At 52.2% G+C, this 27665-nt stretch overlaps 1 protein-coding gene across 4 annotated transcripts, besides 10 other annotated features; it reads right to left on the reverse strand.

Moving 5' to 3' along the window:
• CTSH (cathepsin H) lies at positions 896-24884 on the reverse strand. Of its 4 annotated transcripts, none has more exons than XM_017021951.2 (13): positions 24729-24884; positions 18978-19009; positions 17524-17661; positions 17156-17261; positions 15518-15588; positions 14816-14920; positions 12210-12296; positions 11289-11344; positions 9250-9331; positions 7551-7619; positions 5172-5278; positions 2831-2956; positions 896-2043 (listed from the first exon to the last, which is right to left on the reverse strand). In XM_017021951.2, exons 3-13 carry the CDS (start codon positions 17590-17592, stop codon positions 1968-1970), a joined length of 954 nt encoding a protein of 317 aa, XP_016877440.1. In that variant the 5' UTR covers positions 17593-17661; positions 18978-19009; positions 24729-24884; the 3' UTR covers positions 896-1967. The 4 variants fall into 4 exon arrangements, with proteins under 4 accessions (XP_016877440.1, NP_001306066.1, NP_004381.2 ...); NM_001319137.2 differs by having other exon boundaries at positions 11289-11879; NM_004390.5 differs by lacking the exon at positions 17524-17661.
• Positions 5197-5246: an enhancer, noted in NCBI's record as "active region_9923". NCBI's record gives its function as "activates an Ori minimal core promoter by ATAC-STARR-seq in GM12878 lymphoblastoid cells {active_cell/tissue: GM12878}" and the evidence as "EXISTENCE:reporter gene assay evidence [ECO:0000049][PMID:35858748]".
• Positions 18992-19091: an enhancer, noted in NCBI's record as "active region_9924". NCBI's record gives its function as "activates an Ori minimal core promoter by ATAC-STARR-seq in GM12878 lymphoblastoid cells {active_cell/tissue: GM12878}" and the evidence as "EXISTENCE:reporter gene assay evidence [ECO:0000049][PMID:35858748]".
• Positions 19202-19461: an enhancer, noted in NCBI's record as "active region_9925". NCBI's record gives its function as "activates an Ori minimal core promoter by ATAC-STARR-seq in GM12878 lymphoblastoid cells {active_cell/tissue: GM12878}" and the evidence as "EXISTENCE:reporter gene assay evidence [ECO:0000049][PMID:35858748]".
• Positions 23087-23136: an enhancer, noted in NCBI's record as "active region_9926". NCBI's record gives its function as "activates an Ori minimal core promoter by ATAC-STARR-seq in GM12878 lymphoblastoid cells {active_cell/tissue: GM12878}" and the evidence as "EXISTENCE:reporter gene assay evidence [ECO:0000049][PMID:35858748]".
• Positions 23567-23616: an enhancer, noted in NCBI's record as "active region_9927". NCBI's record gives its function as "activates an Ori minimal core promoter by ATAC-STARR-seq in GM12878 lymphoblastoid cells {active_cell/tissue: GM12878}" and the evidence as "EXISTENCE:reporter gene assay evidence [ECO:0000049][PMID:35858748]".
• Positions 24005-24299: a silencer, noted in NCBI's record as "tiled region #2017; K562 Repressive non-DNase unmatched - State 1:Tss". NCBI's record gives its function as "represses a minimal TATA promoter and a strong SV40 promoter by Sharpr-MPRA in K562 cells {active_cell/tissue: K562}" and the evidence as "EXISTENCE:reporter gene assay evidence [ECO:0000049][PMID:27701403]".
• Positions 24005-24615: a biological region, named in NCBI's record as "Sharpr-MPRA regulatory region 2017".
• Positions 24077-24615: an enhancer, noted in NCBI's record as "H3K4me1 hESC enhancer chr15:79236581-79237119 (GRCh37/hg19 assembly coordinates)". NCBI's record gives its function as "activates a minimal SCP1, AML or CMV promoter by ChIP-STARR-seq in naive H9 embryonic stem cells {active_cell/tissue: H9 hESC(naive)}" and the evidence as "EXISTENCE:reporter gene assay evidence [ECO:0000049][PMID:30033119]".
• Positions 24616-25154: an enhancer, noted in NCBI's record as "H3K4me1 hESC enhancer chr15:79237120-79237658 (GRCh37/hg19 assembly coordinates)". NCBI's record gives its function as "activates a minimal SCP1, AML or CMV promoter by ChIP-STARR-seq in naive H9 embryonic stem cells {active_cell/tissue: H9 hESC(naive)}" and the evidence as "EXISTENCE:reporter gene assay evidence [ECO:0000049][PMID:30033119]".
• Positions 24737-25086: a silencer, noted in NCBI's record as "silent region_6720". NCBI's record gives its function as "represses an Ori minimal core promoter by ATAC-STARR-seq in GM12878 lymphoblastoid cells {active_cell/tissue: GM12878}" and the evidence as "EXISTENCE:reporter gene assay evidence [ECO:0000049][PMID:35858748]".

Genomic DNA, 27665 nt, shown 5'->3' on the forward strand with positions numbered 1-27665 from the left:
GCAAATATTAATTGGGTTTATTTATCACAGCAGCCAGATCTTCCAGATAGATGTAAGCAAGAATGGTACCCTTAGACTTATTTGCCATGTATCTTCAATGGGAATCCTTTTATACCACTGACTTCAATGGGAATCCTTTTATACAACTGACCATTGATTTGAGAATCTTTGTCAAATTCAGAAATTATGCTTTCAGGCTGGGTGCGGTTGCTCACACTCCTGTAATCCCAGCACTTTGGGATCACTTGAGGTCAGGAGTTCGAGACCAGCTTGACCAACATGGTGAGACCCCATCTCTACTAAAAATACATAAATTAGCCAGGAGTGGTGGTGCATGCCTGTAATCCCAGCTATTCAGGAGGCTGAGGCAGGAGAATCGCTTGAACTGGGGAGGTGGAGGTTGCAGTGAGCTGAGATCACACCACTGCACTCCAGCCTGGGTGACAGAGTGAGACTACATCTAAAAAAAAAAAAAAAAAAAGAAAGAAAAAGAAATTATGCTTTCATTTCATGTTAGTTTTTTTTTAAATCTAGAATAGAATTCCATCCAATGAAGTCTATTATTATTATTATTTTTTTTTTGAGGCTGGAGTGCAGTGGCATGATCTCAGCTCACTGCAACCTCCATCTCCCAGGCTTAAGCGATTCTCTTGCCTCACCCTCCCGAGTAGCTGGGACTACAGGTGTGCACTACCACTCCTGGCTAAATTTTTTTTTTTGTATTTTTATTAGAGACGGGGTTTCACCATGTTGGCCAGGCTAGTCTCAAACTCCTGACCTCAGGTGATCCACCTGCCTCGGCCTCCCAAAGTGCTGGGATTATAGGCGTGAGCCACCATGCCTAGCAAGGTGATTGTTTTTTGTCTTATACAGTTGTGGTCTTATGTTACTAGAATTTTCTAATAAATTAAACTATATTTGCATTATCTAAATAAGCCTTATCATGAACATATATATTTTTCAAATATTCTCAAGCCTTTAGCTTTTCAGGAAGCCCAAATAAGATGACAGCTTTTATCATTAAGAAAGTCTGTGAGCCATAGGACAAAGAGCTGGTGGACTCCAGCTTGTTCTACAGACATCCCAGAGCCCGGAGGCTTCAGGAAGCAGCAGCAACTTCATGGCCGCCCTCTAAACAGAGATCAAGATTTCTCAAAAGGCAAGATAAGGGAAGGGATGGTGTGGAAACGACAGGAGCATCTGGGCACGTTTGAAATAAATAAGGGGTTGGTGAGGAAGGGGTGGGCAGTCTCATGTGGAGGTGGGGGGCAGAGTCTGAGTAGGAGTAGGCAGCTGAGACTGGGGAGGCCACACAGAGAAGTACAGGCTTCTGGGCTGACATTGTGGGTTTGAATCCTGCCTCTGCCGCAGCTTGGCCCGTTTTTCTCCTTCCTCCCCACCTCTCCACTCAGGTTTGGGACAAATAGTCAAGATCTCAAATTAAGCCTGCTCTTCATCCTGGATACCCCATCTGGTGGATAATACCGCCAGCACCCCCACCATCCTCCCAGCCAGAGCCTGGACACCCCCTGATGCCTCCCTCCTGGGAGACTGAGTGGCGAGGACAGACCTGGTTTGAGTCATGGCCCAGGACCAGCATGCTCCATCTGGGGAGGTGCTCACTCAATGTTTATTGAACAGCGAATACAGAAAAGACAGTCCCTGGAGCTCTATATGTGGAAAGTAGCCCTTCTGGACAGAAAGAATATTCGTGGTCCATGTGGTTTGAGTCTGTTAAGAAGGACACTAAGGCACATGGCTGGTGATCTTTGCGTCATAGACACGGGTGAGCTCATGGTGGAACTCCTCCTTGTCTGTAGGTTTCCAGGCTGGGCACAGAGGTGAGGGCAGAATGTTGGGGGTCCCAGTGGATCTCCCCACAACTTCCTCCAGGGCAGGATTTCCACCCAGGCCCAGGCTGCCCGTTCCTCTCCTTCTCCGCCAGTCTGCGCTGCGGCTGCCACGGCTCACACCAGAGGGATGGGGTAGGAGGCGCAGGCAGCCAGGCCACACATGTTCTTTCCGCGCTCGATGAGGAAGTACCTGGGCAGAAAGAGGAGCTGAGGCCCGGCCGGCGGTCTCCCCACCACAGGCCTTTCTAGAATGTTTTGCTGCTCACCAAGAGCTGACTTCAGGGGTGAGACCCTCTAAATTTATTCATAAAACAGTAGCATTCGGCTTATTTGATCACCGGCAAATCACGGACCTGACTTTGTGAAGAATTCATTCTTCCCTCTCCTTAGCTGCCAAATGAATGATCCATATCCCACTTCTCCCGAAAATTTACCGAGGGCCCCCTCTTAGCCCTGGCCGGGCCCTCACACAGCTATTTTATCACCAGGAGCCCGAGGGAACAGGAAAGCTCTCCTTTTCAGACAAGGACATGGAATCTGGGAGGACAGGACAAAGGCACAGCAGCATATACACCCAGGCCGCCCCATGCCAGCCTTTTCTCCCGGAAGGAGGGGCTGTCAGTGATCAGGGGTACATTTGTTGCTTTGATTTCTCAAAGACGGACCCTCCCAGACACTGATTTCGTGCCAGCAGAGTTCCAAGTTCTGAGCTGTTTTCCTAGCAGTCCTTCTGAGCCAGCTGGCCTCCTGCTCTCCCTGCAGCGTCCTAAAGACCTGGGGCCCTGTGAGGGCTGCAAATGGGGGCTTGGAAATGTGGAGGCTACATTCTCATGCTCCCTTTCCCCCTGGCCTGGCCTAGGGCTTGGCTGACCAGCTCGTCTGTGGAAGCCGTAACTCTGAGGTGGAAGTGATGCCCCCAGGGCCTCCAGGCCTGAGCAACATCCCCCTCCCAGAAGTGGGACCTGGGAGCTGCTTACCCGTTCATTCCCCACTGGGGACCCCAAGAGTTTTTCACGATCCAGTAAGGGATCCCATTTTTTTCTCCATACCCAACAGCCAGTACTGCATGGTTTACTTTATCTGGAGTTTTATGGCAGGAAGTACTGGAAAACAAAATTCAAAAAGAGGTGATCATATGGGAAGGATAAAAGCAATGACAGTCCCATCCAACAACGCCTCTTTGAGCGCTTTAGAGCAATGTTCCCCACAGCGGACCAGGGAGGCATGTAAGGTGGTGATGTAATCACATTTAGTCTCCGTGAGAGAACTCCTTTCAGTTCTTTTTTTCTTTTGAGACGGAGTCTCACTCTGTTGCCCAGGCTGGAGTGCAATGGTGCAATCTCTGCTCACTGCAACCTTCACCTCCAGGGTTCAAACGATTCTCCTGCCTCAGACTCCCGAGTAGCCTGATTACAGGCGTGCACCACCACACCCAGCTAATTTTTGTATTTTGGGTAGAGACAGGGTTTCATCATGTTGGCTAGGTTGGTCTCGAGCTCCTGACCTCAGGTGATCCACCCACCTCGGCCTCCCAAAGTGCTGGGATTGCAGGTGTGAGCCACCGCACCCGGCCCTTTCAGTTCTTTTGGTTCTTCTGCTTCTGTCAGGAGAATCTCCATATGGTGCTGGCCCGTGTCTCACCCCTGACACTTTCTACTCCCTCTTTCCTGGCAAGGAGAGAGCCACCTTCCTGCTGCACCTTCTGTAGGCAACAGTGTCTGGCAGACTTTAACACAGCTTTGCTTTGTTGCCACTGCATTTATTAAATATTACTTTATACCTATGGCAAAAATACAACTTTTTCTGTTTACAAAAGTGAACTAGCCTCCATAAGGAAATTCCAAGAAATTCAAGAGAACAAACTGCAGTGGTCAGGTGTGAATTCAGCTGATGTGTAAGTGGGCCATAGGCTCGCGCCAGGGCCAGGTGCCGGGATCCAGGCAGCATGCATAACTGTCCCTTGGAAGCCCTGTTTGGCAGGGAGCAGGTTGGCAAAGAGGCTGCTTCTCTACAGTGGCCTGAGGGCTCTGACAGTGGGAGGGCGACAGAGCCCCCAGGAGGTGGGGGGGATCCAACCCAGCGGGGGGGGGGGGGAGGGTGGGCAGGGTGGGTCAGGGAAGGCTCCCTGTGGAGGCGGGGAACGCCCATGGAACTGCGAACCCTTCTGCGTGGCTGGGGTGGGGGCTGCAGGGTGGAACGGCGGGGACGGGTTTGATGGCAGATGAGTGTGGAAAAAGAGGGAGGACCAGATCATGAGGGTCCCCCTCAGGGTAGGACCCTGGGAAAGCAGGGACACTGGTGTGTTCAAAGGTTGGCGTTGGCAAGAGGAGTGTTTCAGAAGGCAGACAGCTCCCAGTGGAAGCTGGAACAGTGTGTGGGGGGTTAGGGGGTCCAAGGACAATGGTGACCAGGGCAGAGCCTCAGGGAGGGAGAGGAGAGCACAGACGTGAGTGACATTAGTGAGTGACGTTAACGGGCAGCAACTGATGAAGGGAGGGAAATGAGGCTGCAAACCAGGCAGGCGAAAAGGTGTGGGTGAGAGAAACCCCATAGTAAAGAGGCTAAAGCTTGGTTTTTCTGAAGAAGCCTGGGGTGACTCCTCCAGCACAGGATCCTAGTGTGTGAGGGCAGCTACTCTTCTCCCTATTTTACGTCTTCAAATCTTTAAACATGGGTATTTTTTTTTTTTTCTGAGACAGAGCTTTGCTCTGTCACCAAGGTTGGAGTGCAGTGGCACGATCTTGGCTTAGTGCTACTTCCACCTCCTAGGTTCAAGCCATTCTTGTGTCTCAGCCTCCCGAGTAGCTGGGATTATAGGCATGCACCACCACGCTGGCTTTTTTTTTTTTTTTGTATTTTTAGTAGAGATGGGGTTTCGCCATGTTGGCCAGGCTGGTCTTGAACTCCTGGCCTCAAGTGATCCACCTGCCTCGGCCTCCCAAAGTGCTGGGAGTACAGGCATGAGCCACCACGCCTGGCCTGAACATGGGTTTTTTTTAAACTGGAGGCAACTCTTCTGTTAAGGAGCACAAAGCTCTCAAATTTTGGCCCTAGCTCTCACTAGCCAGGTGGCCTGTGTCTGTCGTATCCCTTCTGACCACCTCTCCTTTGCTGTGAGAAGAGGCCATGGCTCCTGGCCCTTGGGGCTGTGTGAGGATTAACTGAGGGATGTGCAAAACGCCCAGCACCTGGCAGGTGTCATGAAGGGTCTGACACACAGGAGTCTGGGCCACGAGCCCAAGTCCCACGAGTGGGGTGTGAGGAGGCCCACCAAGCCCCTCCCCACTGTCCCTCCTGGCTCCTGGGACCCTGACTCACCTGGAGTAGATGCCGGTTCTATACATCATGAAGTCCTGAGTCACCTCAAAGGCAAAGCTCACAGGGTTGTAGAGGGCCACAGCCTCCACCATCGCTTCCTCGTCATACTGTGGAAACAGGACCGAGACAGAAACACATGGCCTGTCACCTCCCCACTCCTTTCACAGTACAGCCTTTTGCCTCAAGCTAGGGGCTAGAGGCCCAGAGCAGCATGGATGGCCAGAAGCAGCTCCCCTGCGGCCTCTCTCCCTTCCTGTCTCTGGCTGGGTCTGTCTGGCCATCTCTCGTTCCTCTCCCCAACTCTGCTCCTAGGAAACCCTGCACCCTCTGAGATAGGGACCACGGGGTACAGCGTGGACCTACTCATTCAGTCATTCACATCCATTCCCTGAGGTCCTCTCCTGGGCCAGCAGCTCTCACCCCTACACCCATAAACCCAGAGTCTACAAAGCTTTGCTGCTAGAACACAGGGGTTATAAACCATGGACGGGTAGGTCCCAGATGGCGGTGGAAACGAGAAGACCCATCCGAGGGCTGTGTGACTTCTGAGTAGAACCTGTCCCCTCCAAGGGGGAAGGTAGGTGGGGGGAAGTCAGGGTGGCTTCCTGGAGGCTGCAGCTTTGGAACAGAGCTGCAGAGACCAGGTGACAGCAGCAGGTAGAACCCCATGCAGAACCTTAAAAAAACCCCAAGTCCAGGCTGTGCCTCAGACCAACTACAACAGTATCTGCAGGGTGGGTCCCAGGCATTGGCACTTTTTGGAGCTTCTGGGTTGGGGGTGGCTGGGTTCAAGTGCACTAACCAAGAGACCTCTGGGAGCTGAAATGAGGGGGGAAGTTACCTGTGCTGAGGCCAGGGCCCTACTGAAGGAAAGCAAGTGCAGGAGGGACGGGGCGCCCAGCCTCCCTCAGTCCTGCCTCCCTAGAGGGGTGGACAGAGACCCAGCTGTGAAAAGCAAACAGGTGCCTGGCAAGGGAGTGCCCTCCTTCCTGGTATGTGGACAAGGCCTTGTGAGCCCAACAGGTCAGGGCATATCTGAGACATGGAGGGCACAGAGGCCAGCCCAGCACAGGGGCGATGACTTCTGCAGGTGGCACCATTTCCACCCCATGGGCCTGCCCAAGAGGGCTGAATGCTAGTTCTGGCCTGGTCGTCAGGGCCCTGCAGGTGTCACCAATGAGGCTCTCCTGGGGACCATGCAAAGGGATACCTTTGAGGCCCAAATTCACCTGTCCTTGGGATATCATGGCCCAGAGCAGCCAGCTTGAGTGACAGCAGCAACATTCTGAAGAGGGTGACATCCTGAGTACAGGATTTGCGCTGTATGTTGTCAAGGCAATGAGCCCTGGTTCTGGAATGACACATTCTTAGTTCAAATCCAGCATCTATTTCCTAGCTCTGTGGCCTTGGGCACATTACTTAACCACTTGGAGCCCCCGTTTCCTCACCTGTCAAATGAGGTAATAAGGATACTCATCTCCTAGGGCCAGTTCGGGTCTAGAGGGGATAGTGCGTATTGAGGGTTGGTACAGCACCTAGAAGTACTCCATCAAGTTAAGATGTTATTGCTGAGAGCTTGGCACATGCTTCAACTAAATGGCAGCCGCTGTCATTACACAGACATCACGTTTGTGAACTGTACATACATTCGTGGGCGCACACACAACCTAAGCGATATTCCTCCACTCCTCACACACCCTCCCACACTTGCATGCATGCACACTGCAGTCACGAAGGCGTTCATTCACGTTCCAGTTCTCTCTGGGAGAAGCAGGGTAAGACCACACTTCCCTATTCACTTGAGGTCAACTGTGACTGGGCGGCTTGTTTTGGCTTTAGAGCTAGGGCATCATTTACCACCTTCTTTCCCTCTAGTCCTGGCGTGAGGCCAATGACACGGAGCACACACCACCCTCCCTAAGCTGTGCATGGGCGCAGGAGTGCCACACACCCTTTGACTGTTGTCAGCCATGCAGATTGGGCACGGTTGTTATTGCAACAGAACCTGGCTCATCCTGAGTGACACACACTCACCCTCCTCAGTTTCACACACGCTGTGTCAAGCACGTGCTCATACCCTCTTCTGCAGGATGCGGACAATTGCTTGCATTTTACAAGCAAGAAAACAGAACCAAAAGAATGAAGGCATGTGTGGATCTGGAGTTCAGAACCAGAGGGCCTGCCTGCCAGTTTGCGCTCTCCCTCCCATCTCCTGCCTCGCCACCATCACAGCGACTGAGACCCAGGGATAATATGAACTCGTCAAAGGGATGTGCTGCCAGAAGGGCTGCCTTGCTGGGCCCACTGGCTATCCGACAGCATGAGAGAGGCCTCCTCATCAGGACACATTCCCCATCCCAGAGGGGGATCGGCACTCACGATTGTGATGTTGGCTACATCCTTGACAAAGCCGATGGCCTTTCCAGGTTGGAACTTGCAATAACCATCCTGTTGAGGATGCAAAGGGCATGAAATACAGGTTATGGACCCGAAGTCTCAGCCTCCCCACGCAGTTCAATAACATTTACTAAACAAAACAAGATGTGCCAGGGCCTGGGGGATGGGATAATTTCAGAGAGAATTAAAGCATCCTTGTCCTCAAGGAGCTTAGGGTCTGGTAGCAGATGGTCCTGTGCTGGCTTTGGCAGAGGTGGGCACACATGGTGTGTGGTGGGAGCCTGAGGAGGGGCCTCACCCGGCCTGAGGAAACTCACTGAGAAGTGGAGGCCGAGTCAGAGCCTGTGAGGCAGGGGAGTGGGGACAGTCTCAGCCCAAAAAACAATGCTGGCAAGAGGCAGGTGCAGGGGTAAGGTCACAAGGAGGGAAGCGCAGCCCTTTCAAGGCAGGAGAGAAGGCAGCAGGACAAGGGACAGAACTAGAGGGAGGGTAGGACCTGGCATTTAGGAACCAGCATGTGGCTGGGCCTGGGCGTGAGGTTAAGAAGGGAGAGTTGGCCGGGCACGGTGGCTCACGCCTGTAATCACAGCACTTTGGGAGGCCGAGGCGGTAGATCACGAGGCCAGGAGTTCAATACCAGTCTGGCCAAGATGGTGAAACCCTGTCTCTACTAAAAATATAAAAAGTTAGCTGGGCGTGGTGGCGGGTGCCTGTACTCCCAGCTACTCAGGAGGCTGAGGCAGATAACTGCTTGAACTCGGGAGGCGGAGGTTGCAGTGAGCCGAGATTGCGCCATTGCACTCCAGCCTGGGCAACAGAGCAAGACTCCGTCTCAAAAAAAAAAAAAAAAAAAAAAAAAGAAGGGAGAGTAAAAGAGACAGGGAGACTGAGTTGGAGTCTGGGCTTTCTCCCGAAGGCCGCATGGAGCCTCGGCGGCATTCTGATCGAGGCAGGCGTGGGGTCTGAGCTGGGTTTGAGAGGCCTGGGGGAGGCCACCCTCAGGGGTCTGGATGGAGGCCCCGGTCTGAGTGGTCAGCGACACAGATGGGCCAAGGGAGTCATGTGAGGTCTGTGGTGGTCAGCAGGCTGGCGGCAGGGTGGGGTGGAGAGGGGGACCGGCCCAACAGGACTGTGGACACCTGGGAAATTCTGAGGGAGGCCAGTGCTGCTCATCACCACGAGGGGAAATAAAGGAGGAGCAACAGGTCTTGGGGAAAGACAAGGCACTTGGCTGTGGCCAGGCTGGGCGGAGGTGATGGTGGGAGGCCCAGCAGCCTTGATAGGGTAGGGGTGGGGGTGGGCCCCCAAAGGGTCCTTGGCACAAGAGGCCAACTGCATGGACAGAGGCGAGAGGATGGCGCTCGTGGCAGGAGGGAGAGGAGCCAGGAAGATGGGGCAGGTGGGGGGAAGGAGGGGTCCTGAGAAGTCTGGCTCGGGAAGGAAAGAGATGGTGCCGCAGAGCGGGTATGGGGTGAGAATGATAAAGAGGCCCCTGGACTGGTGAGAGCAGTGGGCTCAGGTGGGTGGAGGAGGGGAAGGAAGAATTTGGAGAGAACAGACAATTGTGAGAATTCCGGCGGGAGGGAGGTGGGGGGAGAAGGGATGTCTTCCAAGGCTGGGGAGGGAGTGAAGCTAGGCATGCTGTACGCCAAGAAGACAGAGTGGAGGCTGTTGGAGTTACCTTGCCCTGGTAGGGGTAGGTGTCTTCACCCATGATCCCCTTGTTGTACAGGATATACTCGAAAGCCTGGCTGGGGAGACCCCTGCAAGAAGTACACACAGGTGAGCCCACCTGGGGCTGTCCTGATAGAGGCGGGGCCCTCGGGGACTGGCGTGGCGAGATATCTGGCCTGGCAGGCTGGGGACTTGGTTGGGCATGTCCCAGTGGCAGAGGGGGTCTCTGAGAGGCCCAGCCTTGGGATAAGACTCAGCAAACTCAGATGAGGCCACCGGAGTCCAAGGACCAGCCCAAACATGCCTCAGTGGGATAGAGACCCCTTAAGGCCAGCCGCTCTGTCAGGAGTGCACAGCCCCACACCATGGTCAACAGCATCAGCCCAGAGCACTGTCATCGCCACAGCCGAGCCCCTGGGCAGGTGCTTCCCAGGCATGACTCCCTGACCCCTCGTGTCGACCCTGTGTGGTGGATGCTGTCACTGGCTGAGGCAAAGAGGCTGAATAACCTGGCCAGGGCCACACAGCTAAAGCTGGGAAGTGGTTCCAAAAGTGGGTCTTTTCTACATCATGTGGCCTCCCAGAATAAACAAAAACTCAGCAGCTGCCCAGCAATCCCCGTCCCTTCTCTGTTTCTCTCCATAGCATTCCGCACCGCCTGACCTAGTCTAGCCTTGACTGTGGTCTCTCTGAGCCTGCCAGAATGCCCGCTCTTCCAGTTCTGCTGAGCGCTGTATCCCCAGGGCCTACACACAGCGGGTGCTCTGTGATATTTGTTGTATGAATGAGAAAAGGAAGTACTGTCCTGAACCAAAGCAAATAGACTCCTTTGAAAAACAGGCTGGATGTGGTGGCTCACACCTGTAATCCCAGCACTTTGGGAGGCCAAGGTGGGTGGATCACCTGAGGTCAGGGGTTCGAGACTAGCCTGGCCAACATGGTGAAACCCCCATCTCTACTAAAAATACAAAAATTAGCCAGGTGTGGTGGCGCACGCCTGTAATCCCAGCTCCCTGGGAGGCTGAGGCAGGAGAATGGGGTGAACCCGGGAGGCGGAGCTTGCAGTGAGCTGAGATCGCGCCACTGCACTCCAGCCTGGGCAACAGAGCGAGACTCCATCTCAAAAAAAGAAAAAATAAATAAATAAATAAATAAATAAATAAATAAAAAATAAAAACGGTGGGACCCCAGAGTGCCCAAATGTCAGACTCTTGTTATGGGTTGGGTTTCTAAGCTGTGGAGTGGAAACAGACCAAAAGTAAGGGGACACTGAGCATGATGGTGGATCTGAGAGCAGGCTACGACGTCACCCCTGGGTCCCCAGGACTTGGCTGCAGCACGGCTCCCTGCAGGAGGAAGAGCCAGCTCAGAGGGGCTGGGGTCTGGGAGAGGGATGTGCCCCAGGGAGGTGGAGGGGAGTCGAGGCACGGCACCCCAAGAGCCTGGCTTTATGCACACCATGTGCCAGGTGAGCAAAGACCACAGAAATGTCTCAGAGCACTGCATGAAGGGAGGGCTAGAGTCACTGTAGAAATGTCAGCAAATTCCTGGCAACCTGCTTTACAGTGGGCCAGGAAAGCAGGTCCAGGCAAGGTACAGCCCTTACACACAGCCACCTCACCCTCACAGGGCGCAATGAGCTTGGGAGGCTGGGACTTTAGTGAGTTCATCTAAAGGCCAACCCTGTATCTGTGTGTGGATCTCGGGTTTGGAGGATGATGTGTAATGGTGTGTTGCTCACTCTATTAAATTCTTTTGGCCACACTCCCAGAGGCCTTGGTGGCGGGTGAGGCCAACCGCACTGTGGAGAGCCAGGTGATACAGTGGAGAGAGGACAGAGGCCTGGACTCAGATTCCAGCTCTGCCCTGTCCTGGCTATGAGACCTGGCCATGTGAGGTGACCACCCCTGTACAACAGAGACCATTTTGCCATCGCCCAGGGCAGTGGTGGGTTATATCTGTGGCAGACCCAGCACACACTGGATCCTGTCGAAGCGGTCAGTGGGAAATGAGGAAGTTTTGGGCCCCTTCTGGTCAGAGACGTACCCTTGGCAGCCGTGATTATTGAAGTCCTGGGCGCAGTCCACCAGCTGCTGTTCCGCCTGGAAGAAGGACACAACCCAGTGACCTGCCAGCTGAGAAGCCGTCAAGGCTTTGGCGTGAGGCGCTAAGCCTCCCTGGCTGAGCCACATCTGAGGCCCCGTCAGTGCTGTGTCAAGGTGACCAAATTATAAACTCCCCAAGGGCAGGGACAGTTGCTGTATGTCCTGCAGTGCCAGCCCAGCAGCTGGCACATGTCGGGAGGGGCTCAGTAAGCAGGGGCAGCCAGGGAAGGTGAGAGGGGGCAAGGGCTGTTGGGTCCAAACCCCTGCCCCGTAGGTGTGCCCATACGATGCAGAGTGTGGGGTCCCACAGCGGTGTATAGGATGGGGGAAACAGGCCCAGCCAGAGACCCTACCCCCACCTGTCCACAACCCAGGGTCCTCATGGCATCACCAGGCCGGCTGTGCACTGTCCCTCCTTTCTCCACAGAGGCAGGGGCTAGGATAGTTCCTTCAGGGGCATCATCCGTCTCTTGTGGGCGAGGGGATGGATGCATAGGTCCCGGCTCTTCCCTCATGAAGACAACTGAGGCTGCTGGGAAGGGTGTAGCTCCTAGTTGGCTACCCACCAGGCAGGCTCCGCCTTTCTGAACCCCTCCGCCGGGAAGGCTCCAGGCTGTCAAGCTAAGGACCACCCAGATCCATCTAGGAATGAGCCCTTGGGCCGGTTCCTTAATAAACTCAGATCCTTCCCGGGAAAAGCATCAATTGAGATTCTCATGCCAGATGTCCACAAGGCTGGGGCATCTGGGTCCACCTGAAACAGCACCCTTAGCCAATGCTCCAGGGAAACCAAAGGCCCAGGCCTGGCCCACATCAGGATGGGGTGTCCTCCGCAGGGGGTCGCCTGTGGCTGATTTCTTACCAAGGACAGCATCTTTCCGGTTGCGATGGCGATCGCAGACTCCAGGGCCCCAGTGGTGGAGAAAGTCCAGCAACTGCCGCAGGCACCCTGGAAAGGCCAGGGGAGAGCAGAGGACATCAGTGATGGGGACGCCGTGAGACAGCCCTGCCTTCTGCCTTCCTCTGCTGACCCTGCCAGAGCTCCCGAGTCCCCAGGTGCCTTGGCAGTTTACCAAGCCCTGTTCCAGATCCATTCATTCTGAGCCTCGCAGGCCCTGTTCCAGATCCATTCATTCTGAGGCTCGCAAGCCCTGTTCCAGATCCATTCATTCTGAGCCTCGCAAGTCCTGAGAGGCTTGCAAAGGAGCAGGAGCAGCAGGTGGCCTCTGACCAGTGCCTGTGGACTCCCAATCACCACCTCTTGGTGGCCAATCCCCACCATTCTGCCAGGGCCTGGAGTCCCCCACCCCATTCTGCAGTCTTCTGGCTCTCTTCCTTCTCGATCTTCACTGGCTCCTCTTTTCCCTACTGGTTCCCTGCAGAAGGATGCCCCAAAGTTCTGTTTTTAGAACCTTCTCTCACCTTTCCACCTCCAGTCTCTTCTGCCCAGTCCTGTTAAACTAACAGCTCCCCAAACCCTAGCCCAGTGCTGACCTCCACTTAGGCTCAGACATCCAACTAACTGCCAGACAACCCCACCCAGACACCCCTGACACCCCAGACTCTGGGGGACCCGCCCCATCCACCCATTTCCCCACCTTCTAACAGTTCATTGCCGCTGCCTAGCCCCCTTATTCACAACACCTCCAGAATAACATGAGGATTAGGTGTGGGGGGCTGCAGCCTGCCTGCCTGGTTCACATCCCAGCTCTGCCACACACCAGGTGGGTGACCTGGGCAAGTCACTTCCCCTCTCGAAGCCTTGGCTTCATTGCTTGTAAAGTGGGAATGGCGAGGGTTCCTGCTTGCAGGGCGCTAGCAGGGTTAAGTCAGATTCTGCTGGTCAGGCAGTCACCCCCGTGGGCACAATGCTGGTGGCTGCTGTAAGGATTTCTCTCAGGTTCATCTCTGTTTCCTCACCTTGCTGGTTCAGTCTTCCAGCTTCTACTTCTGAAATGTCTCTTAAGTCCCCTACCTGCCTCCCAGGTCATCACCCTAGGTTGACACTGGCCTCACCCAATCTCTTCCCTTCACATATCTCTCTCAGCTGGGGGAGGGAGGGACGGCCTGGTGAGAGGGTCCATGAGACAGTCAACGAGGCAGACGTGGCCACTTCGGGGGAGACTAAGCTCACTGCTGAAGGAGGCGGAGCTCGGCTGACCCTTGGGTGCTCGACTTGGGGCAGGGGCCTGGTTTTGAGTCCCCTTTGTCACTTACTTACCTTGGACCTCAGGCAAACCACCCTCCCTCTCAGGCTCTCCCTCTGTAAAGTGAGAAACTCTCAAGGAGGGTGCTGAGCTGATGGACGCTGTGGCTGCTGTCCGTCTCTATCCCCACACAGCGGCCACAGTAAGAGACGGCACACATCTGCGTCAGGAAGCACCTCATTCCGCTCCCTTAGCCCAGCCGGCTGCGTCCTGCCTGATGGCCCAGGATCAGTTAACAGGAGGACTTGGAAAATTCTTGGTGGGCCTCTCTTTCCCACCTGTCCAAGTGGTGGGCAGGTTTAGGTTACGTGTTGCTCTGAATTGTCATGTGGTTCTCAGAGGGTCTAAAAATGTCACGGGGCAAAGGCAGGCTTCTACTCCACCTCCTGCTGCAAGGGGAGGTTTGCTTTGGCTCCTGATGCTAGTTAAACATCCAGCACTTGGCAGGCTCCAGGAACACTGCAAGCCCGGGAGGCTTTAAAGCTGTGCTGCATGGATGGCTTTTTGGAAAGTGAAAAAACATTTCTCATGGAGAATTTCGATGGAAAGCCAGGAGTTTCCAGGAAGGAAACCTTCACCTCATATTTCCTAGAGTCCAGAGGTCGGCATCCTTCTGAAGAAGGCCACGGCAGGTTCCCTGCTAGGGGAGGGGCCGCAGCAGGCCGGGAGAACAGCGGGGGCAGGGTCCAGACTCTCTGGGACAGGGCCTGTGCTGAGATGCCCCCAGACTGCTCCCCCATGGAGGAAGGCAGGGCCTCTCACCTTGCCAAGCCCTCTGTGCCCCACAGCAAGGGCCACGGAGGCCAGCCCCTGCCATGAGAAGCTTGCTGATGCATGACACATGGACTAACCAGAGGGAGGCGGCCAGCCAGGGCAGGGGCTGGACCCTGGTGGCTCGGAGAAGATGGAGGCGGGAAGAGGAGATGCATGGGGTTCTGGTGTCCAGATGGGCACAGGGAACATAACGTTTTGGATGGCTCTGTAGGAGAGACCTGGGACCAATGGGAAAATCTGGGGCGTGGGGAAGGAAGGGAGTAAACTTTAGCCCAATAAAGAGGAACTTTTGCATCCTCCAGAGCAGCCTAGAGAAGTGCTGACCTCCCTGGCCCCTCAAAGGAAGAGGGCTGGAGAGATGCCGAGAGGAAACAGAGGCAGGGATGTGCTTGTGGTGGTTTTGTGGACCTTTTGAGTTGTTCTTCCTGGTGTATTGTCTGGGAGTGTGGCCGTTTTGCAGGGAGAGGATGGAGATTGCCAGGCATACCTGATTTTTCACAGGTGAGACAAAATTTCCTTTTTTCCGCCAGTCCACGGAAGGTGGGTAGGGACCAGTACCTCGAAGGTAGTTACTTTTGGTGGCTGAGCAATTCTGGAACAACCAAACACATTATTTTCAGGAAAATAAACAAAACCAAAAACCTTTCTGACAACAAGAAGAAGAAATGTATAAACATGGAATCACCAAGAGAGAATAAGAAAGGCTGCAGCTCTCAGAACCTTCCCTCTCCTGTCTACTGGTCCCAAGTGCTAAATGACATGTCCCCTTGAGAGTCCAGAGCATTAGGATAGGGTAGACAGATGTAGCAAATAAAAATACAGCTCACCTAGTTAAATTTGAATTTCAGGTAAACAACAAATAACTTTGTAGTGTAAGTATATCCTGTGCAATATTTAGAATATACTTATGCTAAAGAATTACTTGTTGTGTATCTGAAATTCATTTTTAACTGAGTATCTATATTTTAATCTGGTAGCCCTAAGTTAAGGGTCCACAATGCTAAGGCCATGGGCCTGGACTGAGGAACTGCTGAGAGCTGACTCTTCTGGTTCCCCCAAAGAATCTGGGGATACCCTCAGCTGCATCTGGGGATGGGACTGAATCTGCCTAGAAGCAGAGCAGGCTCCAAATTTATTCCAAAGGTTTCAGTAAAAGGATTCAGATTTGGTTGCAATGAATTATACCTACCTGAGGCTCTGACCAGAGATACTTGTGTTTTATTTCAGCAAAGCTCATGTCTGAAAATTGGTTCAGTGCCACTACAAAAGAGAAGGAAAAAACCAAAACAGAAATGGTTAGTGAATCACTAATGAAGAAACAAGAAAAAGTGATGAAACCTCCTGTTTACCTGTGTCGTATTTAGAACCACTGCAACCCATCTCCTTTAAGTTTTTGTATTTAATATAATTCAGTAGATAATTCAATCAGCCCTTACAGTGCTGCCAAAATACCTGGGGAGCTTTTTCAATGGTATAGATGTCCGGGCCGTACTCCAGAGATGCTAATGCAGTTGGTCTGGGGTGGGGCCTGGGCACTTACTTTTTTAGATACTCCCCTCGTGAGTCTGATGGATAGCTAGGTAAAGAACCACTCCACTGGTGCCAGGGGCCTTCCCACCTGCTGCCTAATTTGGTCTCTACACAGCCCCAGCAGGGATGCGTGATCATTTCTGCTTTTTCTTTTCTTTTCTTTTTTTTTTTTTTTTTTTTGAGACAGAGTCTCGCTCTGTCACCCAGGCTGGAGGCAGGGACGCGATCTTGGCTCACTGCAACCTCTGCCTCCCGGATTCAAGCGATTCTCCTGCCTCAGCTTCCCTAGTAGCTGAGACTACAGGCACCTGCCACCATGCCCGGCTAAGTTTTGTATTTTTAGTAGAGATGGGGTTTTGCCATGTTGGCCAGGCTGGTCTCGAACTCCTGACCCTGTCTTTAGGGATTATAGGTGTGGGCCACCACACCTGGGCTCATTTCCTCTTTACTGCCCATGTTAGCATCCCTGGAGGTCACAGGCTAGGACTGGGCAGAAATGAGGTTCAAGCCCAAGTTTCTTTCCAGCTCATGCTTGATGCCTTTATTACCAATTTAGTCAACTACCAATATTTCTCAGAGTCCTCAGAAAATACGCTGGACGTGCGTGTGAGTTTCTTTTTTTTTTTGAGATGGAGTTTCACTCTTGTTGCCCAGGCTGGAGTGCAATGGCACTATCTCGGCTCACCGCAACCTCCACCTCCCGGGATCAAGTGATTCTCCTGCCTCAGCCTCCCAAATAGCTGGGATTACAGACATGCGCCACCAAGCCCGGCTAATTTTGTATTTTTAGTAGAGATGGGGTTTCTCCATGTTGGTTAGGCTGGTCTTGAACTCCCAACCTCAGGTGATCCACCCATCTCGGCCTCCCAAAGTGCTGGAATTACAGGCGTGAGCCACCGCGCCCGGCCTATGTGAGTTTCTAGTGAAATTAATCCGGAGTGAAGGCAGATGCTCCCAGGGGCTGCTCTGAGCCCATGAGCAACCCCTACCCCCCGCAACAATCCAAAGACAGACCTTGGCTTCCAGGCTGGACCCTCAGATGGCAGGAATGGGGCAGGGGCTTCTACAGAGTCTCTTGTAAACTTCACAACCACCCAGAGGGGTACCGGCTTTGTCCCAAATTTACGATCCCACATTACACAGAGAGTAACAGCGGAGCCACAATCTGAGGTCAGCCAAACACAGCTTCAGAGCCTGGGCTTCTGCTCCCTCCACCCACCAGCCCCCAGCGGGCCCTTTCATGGGCTGGGTCACTAACTGACATCCTTCCAGGAAGGAAGGAAGGCGTTCCACGTACTTTTAAATGTGTGGTTCCCATTGTTGTGGGCGTTTATCTTCCTCCAGTTGCTGGCAAACGTCTGCAGCCTGTGGTGGTACTCCTCCGTACTGTAGGTCTTACGGTGCTAAAACAAAACACGCCAGTAGCAAGTCATGGAAACAGGCTGCAGCTCCCTAGAGGGAGACCTTTTTGTTTTCCTAAGAGGAAAGATGAAGGTTTTCTTTCTGCTATGATTCTCAGGCCAAATCTGTGTTAATGGGCGGGGTACTGCTGAGAAATTTGGGAAGTTACAAAACAACCCCGTTTTCAGGGACCTGTGGCCAGAATGAAGACCATGCAGCTGCGTGAAAGTCAGAATGTGGTCCAAGAGGCACTGGTGAACAAACCTGCCACATGTGGGGCACTCCTGGACGCCACTGCTGGTGCTGGGTCAAGTTTACAGCAAAGATCACCATTTTTCAAAAGCACATGCACTGGTGTTCCCCAACTGATTCTGCAACCAGTACACAGTGTGCTTTGGTTTTCTAAAAACAAATGTGTATAATTTTTTATTGATATATAACTGATGTACTTTTTTTGGTAAATGTAATATTTCGATACATTCATATAATGTGTAATAATCAAATCAAGGTCATTGGGAGATCCATTACTTTAAAAATTTCTTTATGCTGGGAACATTCAAATTATTCTCTACTAGCTATTTGGAAATACAAAATAATGATTGCTTACTACAGTTGAATCTACTTGTTTTTTGAACACTTGGTCTCATTTCTTCTAATTATTTTTGGGCCAGGTGCAGTGGCTCACGCCTGTAATCCCAGCACTTTGGGAGGCTGAGGCGGGTGGATCACCTGAGGTCAGGAGTTCAAGACCCACCTGGCCAACATGGCGAACCCCCATCTCTACTAAAAATACAAAAATTAGCCGGGCATGGTGGCAGACACTTGTAATCCCAGCTACTCAGGAGGCTGAGGCATGAGAATCGCTTGAACCCAGAAGGTGGAGGTTGCAGTGAGCCGAGAGTGTGCCACTGCACTTCAGCCTGGGTGACAAAGTGAGACTCTGTCTCAAAAAAAAAAAAATATTTTGTACTCAGGAATCAGTTTATCTTCATCCCTGCTTCCCTGCCCTTCCTAGCTTCTGCTAGTCACCATTCTACTGTCTTTCTTCATCAGATCCACTTTTTTATCTCCCACATACGAGTGAGAACATGTAATATTTGCCTTTCTATGCTTGGCTTATTTCACTAAACATAATGACCTCCAGTTCCATCCATGTTGCTGCAAATGACAGAATTTCATTCTTTGTTATGGCTGAATAATATTCCATTGTGTACATACACCACATTTGCTTTACCCATTGATAGGCACTTAGGTTGATTCCATATCTTGGCTATTGTGACTAGTTCTGCAATAAACATGAGGGTGCAGATATCCCTCCAATATACTAATTTCCTTTCTTTTGGATATATACTCAGTAGTAGGCTTGCTGGGTCATATGGTAGTTTTGTTTTGAGTTTTTGATGGAACCTCCATACTGTTTTTTTTACAATGGTTGTACTAATTTACATTCTCCACAATGTGCTTTGAAAACAAAATACAGAAATGAATCCCAGGGCTTGGAAGGCTGTCAGCCAAGTTAATCACTTGGGACCACTATTTGGAAGGAATTTACTTAACTGCATCTTTCCCAGTGTTTGGCCAGTTCAACTTCTGGAAAGACCCCACTAGGCAAAGTTGGAAATTCCCTTTTTCATTGTCTCAAATCTGGGACAGTTTGGTTTGATAACAGGAAACTTTGTGAAATGAAAAACTTCAAAAAGAAGAAGTTGGGCACTGACCTTAGACATCCATGACTTGAAGTGAAACTTCTCTGTAAAAAGAAAAAAAAAATTAGGTCTGGGCGCATCACAGTAATGTTGAGTCTATAGCAAAGTAGGGCACTTTAGAACTGATTTGCATTTTCGAAAACTGGACTAAATTTAAAACACCAAAAATGGTGTTATATAATGCAGAATGCAAAAAGAAACTCCGACTCTTCCTGGTTTTGTACCCCAAATTAATGTGAAAAAGTATATACTATTAGTCAATGGTGTTGAAAGTCAGGATGGTGGTTATGCCTACTGGGTCGGGGTGCAGAAAGCACTTCCGGGATGCTGCTCATATCCTGTTTCTTCAACTGGGCGCTGGTTAACTGAGTGTGTTTAGATTGAGAAAATTCGTGGAAATGCATACTCAATGATTTGTGCCCCTTTCTGTATGAAGTTATATTTCGGTAAGAAGTTAATTTAAAAAGCTATCTACTCCAGCTGGGCGCGGTGGCTCATGCCTGTAATCCCAGCACTTTGGGAGGCCGAGGTGGGCCGATTGCCTGAGGTCAGGGGTTCAAGACCAGCTTGGCCAACATGGCGAAACCCTGTCTCCACAAAAATATAAAAATCAGCTGGGTATGGTGGTGTGTGCCTGTAATCCCAGCTACTCGGGAGGCTGAGGAGAATCGCTTGAACCCGGGAGGCGGAGGTTGCAGTGAGCCGAGATCGTGCCACTGCACTCCAGCCTGGGCGACAGAGAGAGACTCCGTCTCAAAAACAACAACAACAAAAAACAAACCTATCTATTCCAAGGGCAAGCACTGTTTTTCCTTATGGGGACAGGTAGTAAATATTTCAGGCTTTGCCATCTATATGGTTTCTGCCACAACTACTCAACTCTGCCCCTGCGGCTCAGAGACAGCCACAGAGACTGTGAACATTAATGGGTAGGACTGCGTTCCCGCAAGACTTCACAAAAACGAAACCTCACATGTACCCCCAAATATGTACAGATATTATCAAAAACATAATAAAACAAACAAGACAAAATATTTTACAAAAGCAGGCCAGCCATTTGTTTTTGGATTCCTGCCGTATTTCCCCATGTATGTTCTTATCTAAACATTTCATTTTAAATTTGAATACCTCCAAAGACATATTCCAACTTATAAATATTGAGATTTAAAAATAACACCTGGCAGTGTGGCCCAAGCCTATAATCTCAGTACTTTGGGAGGCTGACACAGGCGAATCCCTTGAGCCTAGGAGTTTGGGACCAGTCTGGGCAACAAAGTGAGACCTCGTCTCTACAAAAAAATAAAAAAAATTAGACGGGAGAATCACTTGAGCCTGGGAGGTTGAGGCTGCAATGAGCTATGATAGCGCCACTGCATTCCTGCCTGGGTGACAGGAGTGAGACCTTGTCTCAAAAAAAAAAAAAAAATCTCTAAAAATAAGATTGTTATATCATTCTTTTAAAGCTAGCCAGTGGAATCTAAATACCATGATGATTTGATATCCACCATCAGTAACATGAACAAACTTTTCTATAAGAGTCAGGTATTTAGGCGGGGTGTGGTGGCTCACGCCTGTAATCCCAGCACTTTGGGAGGCCAAGGTGGGCAGATCACCTGAGGTCAGGAGCTCATGACCAACTTGGCCAACATGGCAAAACCCCAGCTCCACTAAAAATACAAAAATTAGCTGGGCATGGTGGCAGGCGCCTGTAATCCCAGCTACTCAGGAGGCTGAGGCAGGAGGATCGCTTGAACCTGAGAGGCGGAGGCTGCTGTGAGCCGAGATTGTGCCACTGCACCCCAGCCTGGGTGACAAGAGCGAAACTCCATCTCAAATAAAGAAAACAAAACAAAAAAGAGTCAGATATTATACAGAGTTTCTTTTTCTTGTTGAACACCTATCTCCATCCCCACCTGGCAGAATTTTATCCTAAGGGAACATACATTTTTATGCTTGATCACCTTCACATTCTTTTCTGCAACAACAACAAAAAGTTTAAATTTAAATTATTTATTTTGGCTGGGCGCCGTGGCTCATGCCTGTAATCCCAGCACTTTGGGAGGCTGAGGCAGGTGGATCATGAGGTCAGGAGTTTGAGACCAGCCTGGCCAACATGGTGAAACCTCATCTCTACTAAAAATACAAAAATAAGCCAGACGTGGTGGCATGCACCTGTAGTCCCAGCTACTTGGGAGGCTGAGGCAGAAGAATTGCTTGAACCTGGGAGGCAGAGGTTGCAGTAGCCAAGATCGTGCCACTGCACTCCAGCCTGGGCGACAAAGCGAGACTCTGTCTAAAAAAAAAAAAAAAAAAAAAAAAAAAATTAAATGTTTTTACTACCTGTGACCCATACATCTGTGAATATTATAAAAATTTATTCTGGAGCTGGGCGCGGTGGCTCATGCCTGTAATCCCAGCACTTTGAGAGGCTGAGACGGGCGGATCACGAGTTCAGAAGATCGAGACCATCCTGGCTAACACGGTGAAACCCCAACTCTACTAAAAATACAAAAAACAAATTAGCCGGGCGTGGTGGCGGGCGCCTGCAGTCCCAGCTACTCAGGAGGCTGAGGCAGGAGAATGGCGTGAACCCGGGAGGCGGGGCTTGCAGTGAGCCGAGATCACGCCACTGCACTCCAGCCTGGGCGACAGAATGAGACTCCGTCTCAAAAAAAAAAAAAAAAATTTATTCTGGATTGAGTAATCATAATTATTATTAGTGTCCCAACTGATTAAAACATTTCAAATGTATTATACATTATGAAAAGTAATTGTTAAACATCAAAAGTAAAATTGTATCAGAAATGCATCTCTTAATGTGATAAACAGTACTCTACTGCCCATCCCCCGCAATGGATTTATATTTTCATGAGTGAATATTGTTTGGTTGAGAAAAGGTTCAGCATTAATTCTGGTCTTATTTTTGTTTCTTATAGGTCAAAGGGCTGGGAAACCCTGCTCAAATAAGCAGCTGGGAATGGAGGCAGTTTTTAAGAGCAATGCCACTTAATTCTTCGCACTCCTTTCTGTGCATCCAATCCCATGGTGCTCTATCACTCAGCCCTCCCTCCCTCCCTTTCTTTCCTTCTTTTTTTTTTTTTTTTTTGAGAAGGAGGCTGGCTCTGTTGCCCAGGCTGGAGGGCAGTGGCACGATATCAGCTCACTGCAACCTCCACCTCCCTGGTTCAAGCAATTCTATCTCAGCCTCCCAAGTAGCTGGGATTACAGGTGCCCACCACCACGCCCGGCTAATTTTTATATTTTTAGTAGAGATGGGGTTTCACCATGTTAGCCAATCTGGTCTGAAACTTCTGACCTCAGGTGATCCACCCACCTTGGCCTACCAAAGTGCTGGGATCACAGGCGTGAGCCCCCACGCCTGGCCTCACTCAACATTATTTTTAAGACCTCATCAGTTGATATCCCCATGAAGTCCTCTCCTCTTCAATTCAGTTTCCTTGAGGAATTGAGAATGCCAGATATGAACGATTTATTACCGTTTTGTCTTTTTGTTTGCTGTCCCTATTGTTTTTATACCCATGGGTTCAGGTTCAGATTGAATGAGAGGAAAGAGGTTCCCCCTTGCCTTCAGGGGCTCTCTCCCAGTTTTAGCAAAGAGGACACTTGGAAATAAAAGGTCTGTAAATGGATTTCCAGAACACTCTCTGCCGGCATCACTTGAAATATCTTCCTGTTTCCCCAAGGATCCATACCTCCAGTGTGAAGATCACTACCACACAGCATTTAGATCTCCGTTTTTGGGTCTCGAACCTGTTCCAGAGACCAATCTATGGCCGTTTTCCCTGGGGAAAATGCACATTTCCTCAACATGGCTCCCTTTAGGGTTTCAGGGGATTCCAGATCTTGATTAAGGGCCCTGCTGCAGCTGAGGGCTTTAGAGGAAGACAGACCTCAACTCAGGACAAGAGTTGGAGGCAGGGTTTGAGTTTAGGACAATTGACTACCAGTTTGCCTCTGGAGAGATTATTCTGGGGCCAGAATAATCTGCTGGTGAACCGTGCCTTACCCTAAAATAGATCCATTCCAATCTAGTCAGGACTTTAAAAGTGCCATAATACCTTGCCTGGATTTACAGCAGGTTTCAGGAAAGTACAGTATTCCCCTGTTTGTTTGTTTGTTTGTTTTAGATGGAGTCTTACTCTGTCACCCAGGCTGGAGTGATCGCCACCTCTCAGTTTCAAGCGATTCTCCTGCCCCAGCCTCCTGAGTACCTGGGATTACAGGCACCTGGCTACCACACCCAGCTAATTTTTGTATTTTTAGTAGAGACAGGGTTTCACCATGTTGGCCAGGCTGCTCTCGAACTCCTGACCTAAAGTGATCCGACTGCCTCGGTCTCCCAAATTGCTGAGATTACAGGTGTGAGCCACCGCAGCCGGTCCCTGACTCCTGTTTTAGTACAGCTCCTGGGCTACAAACGGTTTCTTACAATTTTAAATGGTTAGAAGAAACATATTTCGTAGCACCCAAAAATCCCTTGAAACTGAAATTTCAGTGGCCATAAAAATCATTTATTAGAACCCAGTTACACTGACTCACTTACATACAATCTATGGTTGCTATCACACTACCATGGCAGAGTTAGTAGTTGCTACAGAGACCACCATAAAGCCTAAGTTATTTACCGTCTGGTCTTTCACAGAAAAAGTTTGCCAAGCCCTGCTCTGGAATTCAGACAGCCTCTCAGCGCCAGCCTTCTCCAGGCAGCCCTCGCTTGCGGCAGCTAGGTTTTCCTTAGGCGGGAACTGACCTGGAGCTGGGCGCCCACTGAGGTTTGCAAGGCTGGGGAGCTTTTTAAATAAATAGGTGGGAAGGAATGAGGCAACCCTCTGGCCCAGATTCAGCCTCAGTGATCTCTGTCCCATCCCCTGAGCCTCTAGCTGGGGGAAAGCCCTGTCCCGTTCCTCCAGAGCTCAGGGCACCCCCCCTCCCTAGGTTCTTGGCTCCTTGGGTTGTTTCTTGGCTACTTTTCTCGGTGAAGGGGGCAGGTGGTCTTTAAGTTCAGAGCCTGTGGGCTGAGGCTGGGACCAGGGACAGTAGGAAAGGAGGGAGGCAGTAGGGAAGAGCAGGCTCCTTGCCTTCAGCCAGGGGAGGTGCCTGAGCCCGGGCAGTAGACAGGATGCAAGGGCAGCACGAAGCTGGACCAGTCGCAGCCAATCTGGCCAACAAGAGGAGTCCTGGGGCTCCACCTGACGCCATGGGCCCTGGGGTGCTGTTAAAAGCGCTGTTGGTCTGAGTGCTTTCCCTGGTGCCGTTGCACAGGGATTCACTGTTCCAAACAGCCCGTCCAACCTACTCTACAGATGGGACTCCCAAGACACTACGGGGATCCCCTGTGTGCCAAGTCCCGGGGGAAGCTGCTAGAGAAGGCTGGGACGTCCTTGCTCACCTCTGGCAGGGACAGATCAGAGTCCTCTGTGTGACACTCTGTGTCCCCAGTTGAGGAAGGCGGAAGGAGCTGCGGGCTCCTTTGGTATTCTAGGCTGGAGAGCCACCTGGCTAGGTGGGACCCTGGACACTCAGCCCATCTGCTCCTCTGGTCCTACAAGCCGCCCACCCTCCGAGAACCCCCGCCTATAATGCAGTTTACCCCTCCCCGTGCCAGCACGCAGAGTTCCTGGCCTCTCACCGGGGAAAGCTCTGCCCCGTTCCTCCGGAGCCCAGTGCGCCCCTGGCCAAGTTCTCCCAGCGTCCACTCTAGGGCCTGCTAGCACCCTCTCGGGCGGCGCGCCCTCTGCGTACCTAAGGAGTTCACGCACAGTTCGGCGGCACCGCAGACGGGGACTCCCAGGAGCCAGGCCCCGGCGCAGAGCAGCGGCAGCGTGGCCCACATCGCAGCGCTGGCGGCTTGGCTCTTGCGCTCAGGGTCCGCGGAGGTGGCGGCCCAGAGCGTCAACTGGGAGCGCGGGGGGGGAGCGGCACGAGCGTGGAGGAGCGGCGGGAGCGCGAAGGGGCGGAGCGAGCGCGGGGCGGAGCGAGCGCGGGGCGGGGTGGGCGGTACTCCCCCGAGGCCGGGCTCGCGGGAGGGGGCGGCGCCGACTAACTCGCCAGCTCTAGTTCACCTGTCGGCCGGCCGCGTCGCTCCCTTATCTCCTCTGGGAGGAAGGGCTTATCTGGGTATCAGGCCTGGCTGAGTCCTGGATCTGCCTGGACTGGCTGGCACCGCGCGGGGAGGTCTCAGCCTGGCCTCTCCCTCTCCCAGCCTGTCGCCATCCCCACGTCCCCCATCTCCCTGCGTGTCCCCACCTCGCACCCCCCCATCTCCCTGCCTATCCCCAACTCGCACCCCTCATGTCCCTTCCTGTCCCCACCTCACACCATGTCCCTGCCTGTCTTCACCTTGCACCCTCCATCTCCCTGCCTGTCCCCACCTCGCTCCCCCTATGTCCCTGCCTGTCTCCACCTCACACCCCCATCTCCCTGAATGTGCCCACCTCCCACCCCCTATGTCCCTGCCTGTCCCCACCTCCCACCCCCATGTCCCTGCCTGTCCCCACCTCGCACCCCCATGTCCCTGCTTATCCCCACCTCGCACCCCCCCATCTCCCTGCCTGTCCCCAACTCACACCCCCCATCTCCCTGCCTGTCCCCACCTCAGACTCCCCATGTCCCTGCCTGTCTCCACCTCACACCCTTATGTCCCTGCCTGTCCCCACCTCGCACGCCCCACGTCCCTGCCTGTCCCCACCTCGCACTCCCCATGTCCCTGCTTGTCCCCACCTCGCACCCCCCATCTCCCTGCCTGTCCCCACCTCACACCCCCCATGTCCCTGCCTGTCTCCACCTCACAGCCTTATGTCCCTTCCTGTCCCCACCTCGCACCCCCCATCTCCCTGCCTATCCCCACCATACCCCTATGTCCCTGCCTGTCCCCACCTCACACCCCCATGTCTCTGCCTGTCCCCACCTCACACCCCCATATCCCTGCCAGTCCCCACCTCACATCCCCCCATCTTCCTGCATTTCCCCACCTCACACCCCTATGTCCCTGCCTGTCCCCGCCTTGCACCTCCCATCTTCCTGCCTGTCCCCACCTCACACCCCCTCATGTCCCTGCGTGTCTCCACCTTGCACCCCCATCTCCCTGCCTGTCCCCACCTCATACCCCCCATGTCCCTGTGTGTCTCCACCTCAGACTTTCCCCCACACTCCCCACGTCTCCCTGCCCTGGTTAACCACATTTCCCTGGCTTCCCTTTTGCTTGGAGTGGACTTACAACTGAAGAAGCTAGACGACCTCCTTGTGAATTGTTTTGCCCCCTCAACAGACATTTTAGTCTTTCTGCTGAGGAAGCTACATTAAGAGCTGTAGGGCCATTCTCTGTAGTTTGCAAAGCTAAAGAAGATGGTATGTAAGGGTCTGGGTGTGAGACAGACAGAAGAACGTGCGTTCCAGGCTGAGGAGGCCGGTGCTGTCACTGCTTTGGGTGAGGAGAGGGTGATTCAGACCAGCCTGTGCCGTAGCCTCAAATGCCCAGTGATGCCCTGTTCTTCACTTACATCATCACCTTGCAAAGTGGCATGTTGTTGACCCCCCATTTTACAGATGAGGAAACTGAGGCCACAAGAGTAGATGGTAACTTTCCCAGTCTGTGCGCAGAGAGTGTCTGAACCCAGCCTTGACCTACTGCAGTGCTCTCTGCTCTGGGCTTGCTCTTTCTCTGTCTCTTCATTTTTAAATTTTTATTTATTTATTTTGAGACAGGGCCTGGCTCTCTTGCCACCCAGGTTGGAGTTCAGTGGCATCATCACAGTTCACTGCAGCCTTGGCCTCCCAGGCTCAGGAGATCCTCCCACATCAGCCTTTTGAGTAGCTGGGACCACAGGCTCGTACCATCACGCCCAGCTAGTTTTTTTGTATTTTTAGTAGAGATGGGGTCTCAAACTCCTGGGCTCAAGTGATCCTCCTGCCTCAGCCTCCCAGAGTGCTAGGATTAGAGATGTGAGCCTCTGTGCCCTTCCCTCTCTTTTTAAAAATGCATCTTTCCAACCTGTGAGTAGAGCCAGATCTGAGCTCTCTCGTGGCCTCCCTCCGACTGGTGTTTCATCCCCTGATGTTCTAGCCCAGACTCTGTGTCTCAGGCACCTGGGGAAGCAGATTCCTGGACTTCTTTCCTGGGATATGACCTACTGGGTCTGGGTAGGGCTCAGAAATCTGCATTTAAAGAGCCTCCCCCACAGTCTCTCTCCTCTCCTGTGGCCAGTGTGGCATGTGGACATGGAATCTCCATGGAACCAGGGTGAGCTCCAGCAGGCACCTTTTTTCAGATAAAGCAGATCTTCCTTAGGTTGTGACTCCATCTCTGTCTGGATGCCCCTCTCTGGGTGTGACCAGTCTCTCTGTGCTTTGAGGCATATGTCTCAGAAAAGACCCTGCTCGGTTACTATTTGGAACAGAAGTCGCTGGCCTTGGGATAAAGGTGTCCTTCTAGGCAGATGTCCTGCCCTTCATGTGTACCTGGAATGCTTCACCCCTCTGCCCATCCCAGCCACTTGGAGGATGTCAGAATTGAAAGCTCTGCATGCTAGACCTCAGGCCCCAGAGCTGCCTCCTGCGCTAGGTCCCTGGTGACCCTCCTTTGTGGATCGTTCCAGCAGGCCAGGGCCCCTGGGTGCTGAGATGTGGAGGGCACTGACCTGGTTAATTGGAGACCAATGTTTGGTTCTAGCCCTACTACAG

Source organism: Homo sapiens, chromosome 15 (assembly GCF_000001405.40).
Source record: "Homo sapiens chromosome 15, GRCh38.p14 Primary Assembly".
Lineage (NCBI taxonomy): Eukaryota > Metazoa > Chordata > Mammalia > Primates > Hominidae > Homo > Homo sapiens.